Source organism: Homo sapiens, chromosome 1 (assembly GCF_000001405.40).
Source record: "Homo sapiens chromosome 1, GRCh38.p14 Primary Assembly".
In the NCBI taxonomy this organism is placed as follows: domain Eukaryota; kingdom Metazoa; phylum Chordata; class Mammalia; order Primates; family Hominidae; genus Homo; species Homo sapiens.
The window spans coordinates 190,326,045-190,342,245 of record NC_000001.11 but is presented as its reverse complement, the minus strand read 5'-3'; the positions used below and the strand labels follow the sequence as shown (position 1 = coordinate 190,342,245).

Sequence of the window (16,201 nt, the reverse complement as noted above, 5' to 3'; positions counted from 1 at the left end):
AAAAAATACTATATGATAGCCTCCTTAATGGGGAGACTATTCTGGATTATCCAGGTGACCCAGACATAATCACAGTAATTCTTATAAGTAGAAATGGGAGGCAGAAGACAGAGAACCAGATAAATGCAAGACTGAGAAAAAGACCCATCGCAACCCTGCTGACTTTGAAGTTATAGAAATGGGGTCACATGGCAAGGAATGTGGGGTACTCTAGAAACTGCAAAAAAAAAAACACAGAAATAGGGCCTCCACTATAGTGTCCAGGAAGAACTCAGTCCTGCTGACACTTTTTGATTGTAGCATAGTGACATCCATCAGACTTCTGACTTGCAAAACTTTAACATAATTGTATAATGTTTAAGCCACTAAATTTGTGATAATTTGTTAGGTAGAAACAGGAAACAAATACACTGCAGAAACATGAAAGTGTTAGTATTGCTTCCTGATAATGTCACACACATATATATGTCTGTGTCTGTGTATGTTTTTACATCTGTGTATTTGTCTTTGTGCATGTAATTTTTTTTCAACTATGGAACTTTGATATTTCTGCCTCTTTTTCCCATCTTATAGTCATCTCCAAATAATGTCATCTTGTAAAGCCAGTCAAAAGATAACTCTTTGAAATCTAGAGTAATGGTTTCCTTCTGTAAATATATGTGTGGTCTTTACTCATAGATCACGTTTTTTGTTGTTTTGTTCATTGGAAGTATTATGCTATATGTGCTTACAAAATGGGTGGCATTACTTTTACATTAAAAATAAAATTGCGTTTTGAAGTGCCTTTGTACCAGGGAACACACACTGAAAGAAAAGTACATTTTAAAGCTCTTGTGCAAATAAAACATGATAAATATAGAAGAAATATTAAACATCATATATTATCATGTATAATAAAAGTAGTTAGAGATTTTATACTAACAGAACATGAAAAACATTAAAAGTGATTATTTGTCCTACTACATTTTAATTTGTTTGCTGACATTACTGTAGGTGTGTTCACCATAGATTAGCATTGAAAAAGACAGAGGTGTTTGTTCAACTAACCAATGTGAAGAACAAAAATTACTAACTAGTGGCTGATTGCTTTTCTGTGAAGTGTGATGGTAATGGATCTTCTAAATTCCAGATGACTGGACCACGGATTTCATCTTAAACTACTGGAGCATAGCAGTTATCTCAAGCAGATAATTAGTGCTAGTTTTTCTCTTTGTCCCTAACATGATGAATATAAGTTCTACTCAACAGAGTATAAACTGCACAAGAGCAGAAAATTTTGTCTTTCCTGTTAAATGATACATCTTTAAGCCTTAAAAAGTATTTCTTGGAAAAAAAAAGAATGAGTATCAGACAAATTCATTGCTTATATCTGCTCACATAGAGTATTCTCTACATTAGAATCCAGGTACTCTTGATCCTCTTTTAGAGAATAAGGATTGAGCTGAGGACCAAGTACTTAGCATTGAGAAGTGTGGCTGACATTACATTACACAGATTTTTTTTTTTGACAGGGCCTATGAGATTTTGTTTTCTCATTCATAAGAAAGGTTCTATTCTAGTATGCATGTGGGGAAATAAATTAAGAACTTGTGTGGTGTTACTCATTATAGCCACTGAAGTTCCAGTAAATAGTCTTCTATTTTTCAAATGTGGGTGTCAGGAACACAGACTTGCTTGGTCAATCTGAAATATTAGAAAGATTGGGATAAATTGTTCATAATTCCAGAGATATTAAACTATCTCCTCTTGAGTCCAGGGACCCATAATAAACCCATGGAGAGATAAATCAATCAATAAGAAGGAAGAGTATATACTGAGCTAGACCCAAAAGGAGTGTCATAAAAGATTTTGTACTGCAGCAGAGTCTTCAAAGATTTGATTATGAGATGGAAAATATGAGCTTTCAGATGAGCAGCTCAAATAAAGACTTTTAAGCCTCACCCAGTTTGGCAAATGTCTTTTGGGGAGTGTCCTCCATTTTTCTATTCCTTGATTACTTTTCAAGTCAGTAAAACCACTACCTGTTTGCTGCCAGCAGATAACATAACCCAGAGGTCATTTGAGATTCCTATGATACATTGAATTGAAAGCTTTTCTTATCTAAGGATTTTATTTATCTTTGATTTCCCCACATTGTATAGGCTCAATATATAAAATATGAGTCAGTTTTAAGTGTGGCTATAGAAATAGCTATTTTTTCTTTCCTCTTTTTGATACTCAGTCATAGGTAGTAAGTGTAATCAATCAAATTTCACTAGTGCTGTCATAAGGCACCTGTCTAATAAATTGGACAAATGGACATAGAAGCCTAGTTGAAAATATATGCCTTTTGACAGAAGAATAAATCAACATCTTTTGCAATCTTAAATTACAATTCACAAATAAAATCAGGACAATGTCTATAAAGTATTGATCTACTGTGTGTCTCTGCTAAGTAAAAACTCACTTTTGAAGATAAGATATGAAGAACTCAAAACACACCCATACGATAACAGAAATAAATGCCTAAATGAATTATATTGTTAGAAAAAGGGTTTGGCTTGTTTTAATATTTTTTAAATAGTACGGGAGGCGGTTGGCAGGTGGGCAATACTAGAGGAGCCACATGAATAACATTGTATGAGCCACTCTGAATGAAATCATTGCCCAAGGAATATGTCCATAATTACTTCTGTTTGGACAGAAAAAGATCTCCTCTTCAGGGATTTTAATTTACTGGTTTAACGTAATTTATCTGCCTGACCTTCAATTACATTTAAGCATTAATTTCTGAGAAACCTACTTATTTTCTTCTAGGTCATTAACTCAGTGAACTGAGATGTGATTCTAGTGCAGCTTGTACAGATACTGTAGAAAGATGTGTAAGAGTTCTCAATGTTATCAGGGTTTCTACCAGCCACAAAGGGAAAAATCTGACTTTGTTTTTTTCTAGTCTAGGATTACAATCCTTTTTCAAAGATATTCTTGATTTTAATGAAGCTTTAGAGCTATCTGCAGTGCAGCTACTGCTTTGCAGAGTATCCTGTGAAGCTTTAAGAGCAACAGTGATAAAGTAGATTAACTATTTTTGTGAGGCTTTTGAAAGGCCACTGTCCTAGAGAGGGTAAGGCAAATTAACCTGTGCTGAGCATTCTTTCAATATTATGTGTGTGCTGCCTAGTTTCTGCACTGAAAGCTGAAGAAAAAAGATTGTTTTATTTATTTATTTATTTATTTATTTATTTATTTATTTATTTATTTTGCATTTGCAATCAGCTATACTCTGCCTGTGGGGGAAAAGCAAACTTTCTCATATATACTTGCTTACACCATCACACCTTGTAACTATGCATAAGAAACATTCCCTTTTACTGACAACAAGAATATATTGATAACTATGTTTTTAGTCCTTTGTGAAATGAAGGTCCTATATGATAGTTTTTCTTAATTAAAACTCCTTACCTTTTCTAAGTCTAAAATTACATTATCTTACATTAAAATGTGATCAACTGTCATTATTTCTACAGAGGTCTTGGATAGTATAAGATAGTACAGGTAAGCAAGACACAGCCCACTAGGAAAAAAAAATACTATTACAGCAATTTTATTATAAATTGATAGACAAAAACAGGCATGTGTCTAAAATTTGTTCAGTGTATTTCCGTTTAACATCACTTATGTTTTGATATGCATCATTTGTTTTCTTTCCATATTCTGGTCTACAAACATTTCTTAATAAAATATATGCACATATCATAACTAGTAGCAGTGCCGGTACAAATAAACTATTTTCTCCTCTGGACAATAGGAGTTGAAATGATAAGTAGCCCTTAGATTACCATGTACTTAAAGTTTACCTTTTCAACAATAGAGTCAACTTAGAATATTCAGAAAAAAATAACAAATTTACATTTCTTTCAATATCCAAGACATAAGGTCCTTTATTAAGTAATTCTTAACTCTGTTATAGTGTAAACAAAATGACAAATTACCTCTAGAGCTAGGCTTAGATAGTCTGCTCTATTTAGTTTCCTACTAGCTTTAGATACTACAGCAAAAGAAAAGATGTCATTCGCATTGCATTCTGAGATTTGATTTCTTGAAAGCTTCTTCAATTGCTTAAGTTACTAAAATGTCAAGTTTAGATTTGCAACGTTTTTCCTAGACATCAGATCAAGTTTGTTATCCTTGAATCATTGCAATAGGGAGGGATGTATTATGTAGACTAAATGGAATAACTACACTTCAAGTTTTTAAAGTATAGTTGAAGAAATTAAGTCAACACCAAGCAAAATATCTTTCATATGTGACAGGACCCATTTCACGTATAAAAGTATGACAAGAGGTAGACACTATCATAGTTTAAAAAACACAGAACAACAACAACAACAACAACAATAAAACCCAAGCATGGCCTTAGATAGTATCCAAGTCCATGTCTGTATTAGTCAGGGTTCTCTAGAAGAACAGGACTAATAGGATAGGTGTATATATGAAAGGGAGCTTATTAAGGAGAATTGACTGACGTGATCACAAGGTGAAATCCCATCATAGGCCATCTGCAGTCTGAGTCCCAAAACCTCAAAAGTAGGGAAGCTGACAGCTCAGTTTTCAGTCTGTGGCTGAAGGCCTGAGAGCCCCTGGCAAATGACTGGTGTAGGTTTAAGAGTCCAAAAGCTGAAGAATTTGGAGTCTGATGTTCGAGGGCAGGAAGCATTCAGCACGGGAGAAAGATGGAGGCCAGAAGACTCAGCCAGTCTAGCCCTTCCATGTTCCTCTGCCTGCTTTTATCCTAGCCATGCTGGCAGCTGATTAGATGGTGCCCACCCAAATTGAGGGTGGGTCTGCCTCTCCCAGTCCAGTGACTCAAATATTAATCCCCTTTGGCGACACCCTCACAGACATAACTAGGAACAATATTTTGGATCCTTTAATCCAATCAAGTTGAGTAACAATAGTAACCATCACAGAGTCCAAATCCAAAGTCAACAGAAGGCAACAAAAGCTAACAAAGCATAGGGAACTGGAAAACACTACTCAGTTTCCATCCGTTTTTTTTCTGGGAGTAGGAGTGGGGTACATAGAGAAAATTGGGTTTCCTTTGATTATCTAGGTATCTACCATGGCGGTATGCAGACTTGAGTGTTAAACATAACTTCAACATCAAACATATGGTTCATGTTGACTGATTTCTCACTTGGATCTTTCTCTCTTTCCAAGATGCCTCAGGTTAGTTTAGTATTATATAATATTGTATGTAGCTATAGTTTTGTGATGATATTCATTACATTCTAAAGTTATTTAGTTATTTCACCAAATATTCATTAGTATTCTTGGTGGGTATCTTTCTAGGTAAAGTCAGAAGAAGGAAGGGAGGAAGGAAGGAAGGAAGGAGGGAAGGAAGGAAGGAGGGAAGGAAGGAAGGAAGGAGGGAGGGAGGGAAGGAGGGAAGGGAGGGAGTGAAGGAGGGAAGGGAGGGAGGGAGGGAAGGAGATAGTATGTGAATTATTATTCAATTTAGTGGAATATTACTTAGTATTCACTTTAAGAAATGAGCCATAGATTCTGTAGAAAGAGCACGTTTTGCAGTGCTGGATGCATGCTATTTTGTCTACACCAGTTTTAATTTACACCCATACTTTCAGGAATTCATTCTCCCTGTGTAAATAACATACATAGTGATATTTGTCCTGGGTTAAAAATCTCATTAGAGGTGTGTGGTGTTTGATAAGATTTACGTTTTCTTGAGTGGAAGAATAGGCATTTTCATACCAATATAGTAGCTTGATTTTGGGATTTTTTCATTGTGATATTTTAATTCTTTTGATGTTAACATAGATCTATATGGCTTTCTTCTAGAATCCATGCAGTGTTTGACTCATATATAGTTTATTATAAACAAACAAACAAAAAACTATGTAACTATTCTAATTTCATTTGTCAAAGAAGGTAGATATGGAAACTTTGCACAACATCAAAATGATCTTAGTAAAACATAGATTAATCTTCCAAGTATCTCAAGGCACCAACTGCAATTATATTGTTAAATAGAACTGTTAGGCATTTGTATATTACTGGAGCTTTAATACTTTCAATTAGAAGAATGAGGGAGAGTAGTGATGGAACCAGTGACTGTTCCAAGGAGTTGTAATACTGACTTATTGTAACCATTTCATTTCGTTATGGGAAACAGAGGAATTAAGGCACTTGCCTTAATATATATCACATGGTAGTATTCCAAAAGACGGAAATGCCAGACATCCCACTTGTAGAAATTCACTGATAGGCTTACCACACTACCTTATAATCTTTTTACTGTTGGGGATCACAAATAAGTTCTGTTATCAGATGTCACATTTGAGAGGAAGAAAAGGTTTTATAATAGGTTACACTATTCCTTGAGTTTGTCTACCACAATATTAAACAGTAAAATCTTTAACTGGCAATGTACATGTTAGAGATGAAACTAGACAAGTTTACAGGAGCTAGCTTCATTCAGACTTTAAAATCTCCATTGTAATGATGATTTCTTTCAGGTAATGTTATGATCTACTTCTATTGAGATTATTTATCTGAGAATATCTTGAGGTTTTTTGAAAAATATTCGAATTTATATATAAAGTGTTAATGAGTCATATATTCTTTAAAATGTCTGAACATCCATTTGGGGTTAAGATTTTATACAAACTTCAGAAAATAAATATATTTATACCACCTGATACTAAATATTCATCAAACTTAACAATGTTTTCTTTAACAATATGAGGTTCAAACTTTTCAATTATGTAAACATTTATTTTAAACATCTACATGTAAGTAAAAAATTATCATTTTTTAGTATAGTATTTATAAAATAAAGACATCATCCTATTATTTATGACTTCAAGAATTAGAAGTCCTCTTCTTCTAGAGTCACTCCATCTTTTAAGGCAAGTAGTAAAAGTTTAACTTTAGCCTCTATCGGGTAAGTGACTGAAGAAATATCCTAAAATGTGCCTAGGAAGTGTTTAGTGGTCCTAGTTGTTTAATCTTCAGTTCATGCTGTTGATTTCTGCTTCTATTTTCACTTCAGCCTATTTTGTCATAATTTGGCAAGATTGATGAAGATCTTTTTGTTCCACTTTACCCAAGTCTTTAAAAGAATTCTCCCTGCTTTCCCAGTACTAACTATGGCTAACTAAATTTTCCTGGAGATTTGTAGAAATGAAGGGAAAAAGCAATAGGGAGTAATTACAATATAAAATAGGCAATATCTTTAAACTAGATATCAAACATCAAAATCCATCAAGCTCATTTACCACACCCAATATAAGAAGTCTCTTTCTAGATTATATTTGTGTCCTGTCTTTCATGCTTTTTTCTTCTTATAGAGACTACCACCACTTCTTTTTTTGCATGTTCCTAATCTTAAGAAATTTTCTATCTGAGCCTGCCCACAGGAAATCAAATATCAGTTCATATTGCAAGAACCACTACAGCATTTTCACCTTATTATTTCAATACCCTGCAATCTATAGAACTTTATTTTATACTTCCCAGTTTAAGTTTGTTTCAGAGACCTAATTACATGCCATTTAAACACCCAGACAAATCATCTTCTAAGCAAAATATAATTTACCTTAGAAACTAATTGTGCTCTTAGGTAGAATGCAAAAAGGGTCATAGTCAATTTTCAGCCCATTTTTCTTTTTATAAGATATATAGTGAATATAATCTCACCTTATTCAAGGATAAGAGTCATGCACCTCAAATAAGGGGAAATACACCCATCTCCCTCCAGCGATAATATATAAAATACAACAAAACCTGAAAATTATAAGAATGGAAAAAAATTGCATCTTTTTCAGTTTCTCGTGTTGATTTTTCCATTTTAAAAAAATTCACACATATTTAGCCAAGACTTGCAAAATTCCACATTATGATGGGAAACCAAAGGAAATAATTATTCACATATTTTTCAGCATAGACTCAAATGGACAAGAGTGTTCCTTGAACGTAGCGTGGGCAGGGGCCTTCAAAAACAAGAAAACTTGAAAAAAGATTGAAATCAGAAGACAAAATCAAGCTGCTTTATTTGCCACTCCACCCATTTGTATAATTAACTTATTATCTGAACTTAACCTGAAATTTTCATGATTTTTAACTTTTTTATTATTTAAACAAATTTTATTTAACTAAAGATCTGATTCTCTTTATGTGTATAAATGTGAGGTGAAAATGTGGGAAGGAAGTGCATGCTCATATAGCGTTGTGCAAATTTTGATGCAATGCATCTCAACTAAGTAGTTATTGGAAGTATTATGGAACTGAGAAAACTTATTGGAGTCATTAAGAGCCCTATGAATATTTGAAGGGCTGTCAAGTAGAGTGAGCAAGTAAATTAATTATGTGTTACTCAAAAGACAGAATCAGGATCAATGAGTTAAAGTTAAAAAGCAGCAGCCTAGGACTCAAAAAGATCACAAGATATAGATTGGGCTCTGTTACAAGAAATTGAACTCCTTTTCCCAGGAAATGTTTAAGTAGATGTTGGTAATCAATTAGTATGGATGTTGTTAAGGTAATTTCTACACTGGGAAATAATTTGCAAGATGCAACTTAAATTCACTTTCAGTCCTACAAGCTATTCATAGAGTGATAAAAATAGTGTAAAATTTAAAATTTTGTCTTTACAAGGTGATGCCATAATTTGATATATTTCATCATTAATATATAATTTGATCATTAATATATTTGAACACATAATTTGATCATTAATAATGCATATTTAGTTTGATGTTATTAAGATGTGCATATGCTTCATTTACTCTATTAACTTTATTTTGATTTTGATTTTTTTCACTCTCTTGATATCTTAAAAAATTACGATTTGACCACTCACTGCAGTATATGTTCCACTAAATTTAGTGTTATTAACAAATGTGATCACCATACCTATACTCTTCATGTGTTTGCTTCAGAAGAAGGGCTTCAGAAAACTCTCTACGATTGAATCGTAGGTTCACCACTCAGTAGCTGGCTGTATACCTGGAGATCATTTTTAATTTTTTTGTACATTGATTTTCTCATCTATAAATTTTTATGCAGTGGGGGAGAAATCTACCCTAGCAATTGTAAAAATTAAATAAGATCATTTTTTCAAATCAATTAGTGTTGGGTCAGGTATATTATAAGCATCCAAAAATGTTGGTAGTACTTGTTACTATTATCAACAAATATATTTAAAATTTGCTGGAGGTGAAAAGCAAGTTTTTCATCTTTGTACTGAATTTTTTTTTCACAATTCTAAGTGCAAAACAGATGTGAAATAAAGCTTAAAAAATAGGTATATGGGTTCATAGATGCATGAAAAAGAAAAGTGAAATAAATCACTGGAGGGCCACTCAACATGGAAACACACCCGGATTGATAATAGCCTGAAGTATCTTTCTAAATCAGGAAACAAATATTTATTGTCTTTCTCTTATGTTTTTATTCAGAGAAAGATCATCTGATTTGTTCTTAACAACTGCCCTTGGAGAAATCGTAGTACTCTAAATCACAGTGCAAACATGCCTTGCCTTGGACATATGTAGAAATGTGCCTTTATTTCCAGTCAGTCAGGTATTGCCAAAAAGGAAATAAGGAACATATGAATAAAAGAAAGCAGAGAGAAGGAGCCTGTTGTTTTGAGAAAGACTGTCTTTCTGCTGGCATTGTAACGGTAGACACGCCTGAGTTCTGAGACCCATGTATTTCAGCTTGGCCACCATTCCTACTGAGGAGAAGACCCTGGAAAAGGTGAACAGGTATTTGAAATCCATACATGTAGAATACTTGGGGAAGTTGTCAGAATGGACAGGTGCAGTGGTAAATATGAGAAAAGAATAGTTAGCGTTTGGCTGCCATACAGTATACCAGTTCAGCCAAATATGAGTTCTTCGGCAACAGCCCTCAAGTTTTCTTGAGGATGTGCTGCTTCATTGGGGCAATTTGCCCTTTGGCACCCATTTACCATACATATTCCTACTTTCTATCAGTCAAAGAAATGAAAGATAAGTAAGAGTTGGCAGTATATATGCAAATTGTTTACAGGAAATTCACACACGTGTTCATATACTTCTTCTTGACATGTATCATTGTATCAGTATTTAATTTGTGAACAAAATAGGCATATATAATTATTGGAAAAAATAGCTTAAAATAGGGTTGATGTAAGTTTGTCTTATTGTAAATGGCCAGATTAACAAAAAATTAGATTCAAATAGTCTGATAACTTTTAAAATGTATTAATAATTATAAAAAGCACGAAAAGATAATAATAACAACCATATTAAGAAAATACTAGTGATGCATTGATAACAAAATGAATTTCCTTGAGATTATGGGAATTTCTGCCATCAACATGTCTATAAAATGGAAAGAGCCTAGTGACATTGCTAAGCATAATTTATTAATTGTGTTAGGCTCACTGCTGCAAGTAATAGATGCCACAATTAATGATTCAAATATAAGTATGAGTTAATTCTTACCTATGCATTGGAACTGTGTAGGTGATCTACTGTTTCCATTAAGTGGTATTTATGTTTGCTCTGATGTATAATCCCATTTCTGCTAGCTGGAAAAGCCTATGGAGAAGTTCAGATGCTGGGTTTTCACAAACCATGTCTGAAAGGAACACATCACTCCTGCTTACACTTGATGGCAAAAATCAGTCACATGGCCACCTCGTACTACAAATAATTATGTGCTTTCTGAGGATGAACAGAACAACAGCAAACAACTTTTTAAAAGCATTTAACAGACTCTACCATACACTGCATGAGAATCAGACCTGTTAAAAGCATGATGAAGAGTTCTTGGTAAACTATTGTTCTAATGGACTAAATATGGTGTGTGAAATCAAGACGACAGTAAGTTTTCATAGCTAAGTTCAAGCTTTCAAGTGGTTATTATGCATAGGTTAAAAAAAAGTCTTTGGGTACATACATTGTTCAACCAGGAAAAGCTTGCATTATTTTTTCTGATGTTATATACTTACATATCTTTTAAATATTTTATTTTATTTTTTCAAAACTTAATAGGCTATAGAATGATGAGAACGCCATAATGCCAGCTTGCAAGAGCTGGAGGAGAGGAGAATGTGAGATGACTCTCTAATGGATATAGAGTTTTTAAATTTTATTTTGCTTTATTTTAGTTTCAGGGAGTACATATGCATGTTTGTTACCTGAGTCTGTTGCATGATGCTGAAGTTCGGATGCTAGTGATCAATATATGGATTTTCAATCCTCCCCCACTCCTTCCCCGCTCCCCTAAGTAGTCTCCAGGTTCTGTTGTTGCCATCTTTATGTCCGTGAATACCCAGTGATCTCCCACTTATTAATGAGAACATGCCATATTTGGTTTTCTGTTCCTGCATTACTTAGGACAATAGACTCCAGCTACATCCACATTGCTGCAAAGGACATAATTTTGTTTTATTTTTATGGTGGTATAGTATTCCATGGTTTGCATATACCACATAATCTTTATCCAATCAACCATATGGGCACTTATGTTGATTCCATGTCTTTGCTATTGAGAATAGTGGGACAATGAACATGTGAGTGCATGTGTCTTTTTGGTGGAATGATTTGTTTTCTTTTGGATATATACCCAGTAATGGGATTGCTGGGTCTAATGGTGTTTCTATTTTAAGTTCTTTGAGAACTATCCAAACTGCTTTCCACAGTGGCTAAACTAATGTACATTCCTACCAACAGTGTGTAAGTATTCCTCTTTCTTCACAGCCTTGCCAGCAGCTGTTATTTTTTGCTGTTTAATAAAACTCATTATGTCTGGTATGAAGTGGTATCTCATTGCGGTTTTGATTTGCATTGCTTTGATGATTAGTGATGTGGAACATTTTTTCATATATTTGTTGGCCACTTGTATGTCTTCTTTTAAGAGGTGTCTGTTCATGTATTTTGCCCATTTTTAATGGGGTTACTTGTATTTTACTTGTTGGTTTAAGTTCCTTATAGATTCTAGCTATTAGGCCTTTGTCGCATGCATAGTTCTTGAATATTTTCTCTCATTCTGTAGTTTTTTTATTTATTCTGTTGATCGTTTATTTTACTGTGCAGAAGCTATTTTGTTTTAATAGGTCCTACTTGCCAGTTTTTATTTTTGTTTCAATTGCTTTTGTGAACATAGTCATAAATTCTGTAACATGGAAAATGACCAGAATGATATTTCCTAAGTTTTCTTCAAGGATTCTTATAGTTTTAGATCTTATATTTTAATTTTTAATCCACGTTGAGGCTTTTTTTTTATGATGAATGGTATGGGTCCAGTTTCATTCTTCTGCAGATGGCTAGCCAGGTGTCCCAGCACCATATATTAGAGTGTCCTTTATCTTTTGCTTAGTTTTAATGAGTTCATTGAAGATCAGATGGCTCTAGGTATGTGGATTTATTTCTGGATTTCTAACCTGTTCCATTAGTCTGTTTTTGTGTCAGTACTATGCTGTTTTGGTTACTGTGGCCTCGTAGTATAGTTTTAAGTTTGGCAACGTGATGCCGCTGACTTTGTTCTTTGTGCTCAGGGTTGCTTTGGCTATTCAGGCTCATTTTTTAATCTCATATGACTTTTGGAATAGATTTCATAATTCTGTGAAAAAAATAATATTGGTAGCTCGATAATATGTTCATTTTAACAATATCAGTTATTCCAATCTATGAGCATGTAATGTTTTTTCATTTGTTTCTGTCATCTATGATTTCTTTTAGCAGTATTTTGTAGCTGTGTAGAGGTCTTTCACCTCTTTTGTTAGACATATTTCTAGGTATTTTTTTTTTGTGTGTGTGCAGATATTGTAAATGGTATTGTATTATTGATGTAGCTCTCAGCTTGAATGTTATTGTTGCATAGAAGTGTCCCTGATTTTTGTATGTTGATTTTATATCCTAAAGCTTTACTGAAGTTATTTATCCATTCCAGGAAAATTTTGCAAGAGTCTCTAGGATTTTCTAGGTATAGAATTAAATCATCACATTGTCTGCAAAAAGAGGTAGTTTGACTTCTTTTCCTATTTGGATTCTTTTTTATTATTTTCCCTTTCCTGACTACTCTGGCTACCACTTCCAGTATCATGCTGAATAGGAATTGTGAGAGTGAATATCCTTTATTTGTTCAAATTTTCAAGGGGAAATGTTTCCAGTTTTTGCCTGGTCAGCATTATATTTACCGTGGGTTTGTCACGTATGGCTCTTATTATTTCGAGGTATGTGCCTTCAACAGTGAATTTCTTGAGGATTTTTATCATGAAGCAACGTTGGATTATTTTATAAGCTTTTTCTGCAGGCATTGAGATGATCATGTTGTTTTTATTTTTAATTCTGTTTATGTGGTGAATCACATTTACTGATTTCTCTATGTTGAACCAACCTTGCATCTCAAAATAAAGCCTGCTTGATTGTTGTGAATTTCATGTGTCGTTGGATTCAATTTGCTAATATTTTGTTGAGGATTTTTGTGTCTATGTTCATCAGGAATATTGGCCTGTATTTTTTTTTTTTTTTTCTTCATTGTCTCTGCCAGGTTTTTATATCAGGGTAATGCTGGCTTCATAGATTTAGTTAGAGATGAATCACCCATCTTTGATATTTTGGAATAGTTTCATTTGAATTAGTACCAGTTTTCTTTGTATATCTGGTATGATTCAGCTGTGACTCTAACTGGCCCTGTGGCATTTTTCAGTTGGTAATGATTCAATTTCTGAACTAGATATTATTCTGTTCAGTTTTTCCATTCTTTTCTGATTTAATCCTGGGAGATTATGTGTCCTCTAGATTTTCTAGATTCTGAGTGTAGAGGTATTCATAATAGTCTCAGAGGATCTTTTGTATTTCTGTGGGATCAATTGCAATGTCATATTTGTCATATCTGATTGTGCTTATTTGAATCTTCTGTGTATTTTTCTTTGCTAATCTAGCTTGTGGTCTGTTTATGTTGCTTATCCTTTCAAATAACCAACTTTTGTTTTGTTGATTCTTTGAATGGATTTTTGGGTCTCAATTTTATTCAGTTCCACTCCGATTTTAGTTATTTCTTTTCTTTTGCTAGCTTTGGGGTCACTTTGTTTCTTTTTCTAGTTCCCCTAGCTGTGTTGTTAATTCATCAGTTTGAGATCTCTCTAACTTTTTGATGTAGGCATTTAGTGCTAAAAACTTTCTGCTTTAATTTCATTGTTTACCCAAAAATCATTCAGGGGCAAGTTGTTTAATTTCCATGTAATTGTGTGGTTTCGAGATATCTTCTTGGTATTGATTTCTGTTTTTACTCCAAGAGTATGGTTTGTATGATTTTGATTTTTTTTGAATTTATGGAGACTTGCCTTATGGCTGAGAATGTAATCAATCTTTGAGTATGCTAAATGTGCAGCTAAGAAGAATGTGTATTCTGTGGTTGACGGGTGGATTATTCTGTACATGTCTATTAGATCCAGTTGCTAAAGTGGTCAGTTTAAATTCAGCAAACATTGTTTTGTTTGTTTTCTGCCTATATGATCTGTCTAATGCTGTCAGTGGAGTATTGAAGTCCCCCACTATTACTGTGTAGCTGTGTAAGTCTTTGTAAGTAAAAAAGTAGTTTTATAAATTTCTGTGCTCCAATATTAGATGTGTATATGTTTAGATAGCAAATTCTAATTGTTAAATTGAATTCTTTATATTTTTTCCTTTTTTACTGTTGTTGGTTTACAGCCTGTTTTATCAGATATAGGAATAGCAATCTCTGCTCGCTTTTTTTTTTTTTTCTTTTTGTTTGTGTCCTTGATCTCTCTCCAACTTTTTCCTTTGAGCCTATGGTTGTTATTATGTGTGAGATGGGTCTCTTGAATACAGCAGACAGATTGGTCTTCTTTTCTTTTCTTTCTTTCTTTTTTTTTTTTCCTTTTTTTTTTTTTTTTTTTTTTTTGTTCTTTTTTTTGAGATGGAGCCTCGCTCTGTTGCCCAGGCCAGAGTACAATGGCGTGATCTTGACTCCCTGCAACCTCCGCCTCCTGGGTTCAAGTGAGTCTCCTACCTCAGCCTTCCAAGTAGCCGGGATTACAGGTGCCCAACAAAACGCCTGTCTAATTTTTGTATTTTAATAGAGATGGGGCTTCTCCATATTGGCCAAGCTGGTCTCAAACTCCTGACCTCAAGTGATCCACCCGCCTTGGCCTCCCAAAGCGCTGAGATTACAGGCATGAGACACCGTGCCAGGCTTGTGTATTTTTTTTTTTTTTTCTAACTTGACACTGTCTGTTTTACATCAGGCATTTAGACCTTTTACATTCAAGGTTGATACTGATATGTGAGGTTTTGAACCTATTGTGAAGTTCTTAGCTGGTTGTTTCGTAGTTTCTAATGTGTGGTTTCTTTTTAGGGTCTGTGGGCTATGTACTTAAGCGTGTTTTTGCAGTAGTGGCTATCATTCTTTTGTTTACATGTTTGGTACTCCTTGAAGTATCTCTTGTAAGATGGGTTTAATAGTAACAGATTATTTTAGTGCTTGTTTGTCTGGAAAATATTTTATTTGTTATTTGCTTATGAAGCTTAGTTTGACAGGATATGAAATTCTTGATTGGATTTTCTTTTCCTTGTAAATCTTTCAAATAAGCCCCCAAATCTCTCCTGACTTCTAATGTTTCTGCTGAGAAGTCCGTTGTTAGCCTAACAGCGTTCCCTTTATATGTGATCTGGCCTTACTTTCTAGCTGCTTTTAAGATTTTTTTCTGTATTGGTGACCTTGGACAATCTGGTGATGTCATGGTGATGATTATTTTGTATAGTATTTTGTAGGTGGTCTCCTGATTTCCTCTATCTGACTGTCTACCTCTCTAGCAAGATTAGGGAAGTTTTCCTGTGTTATTCCCTCAAATATATTTTTCATATTCAAAGTGGCATATTCAAATATGCTTTTTCTCCTTCTCTCTCAGGAATGCCAATAATTCATTGCTTTGGTCACTTTACATAACTCCATATTTCTCAAATACTTTGTTCATTTTTAAAAATTCTGTTTTCTTTATTTTTGTCTGACTGGATTATTTCAAAAGACCTGACTTCCAAGTGCAGAAATGCTTCTGTTATGGTCTGGTCTATTGATAAAGCTTTGAATTGTATTTTGAAATTTCCTAAGTGAGTTTTTCAATCCCAGAAGCTCCAATTGATTTTTTTTAAAGATGTTTAGACCTTCCTTAATTTCCTGGATTACT

General features: G+C 33.9%; 1 protein-coding gene across 14 annotated transcripts in view, besides 1 other annotated feature; it reads left to right on the top strand.

The window, feature by feature from the left end:
• The window catches only part of BRINP3 (BMP/retinoic acid inducible neural specific 3), a 380,207-nt gene that overhangs the window by 135,619 nt on the left and 228,387 nt on the right, over positions 1-16,201 (top strand). The window lies entirely within an intron of this gene.
• Positions 11,740-11,940: a silencer, noted in NCBI's record as "peak566 fragment used in MPRA reporter construct". NCBI's record gives its function as "represses an SCP1 promoter by STARR-seq MPRAs in K562 erythroleukemia cells {active_cell/tissue: K562}" and the evidence as "EXISTENCE:reporter gene assay evidence [ECO:0000049][PMID:32103011]".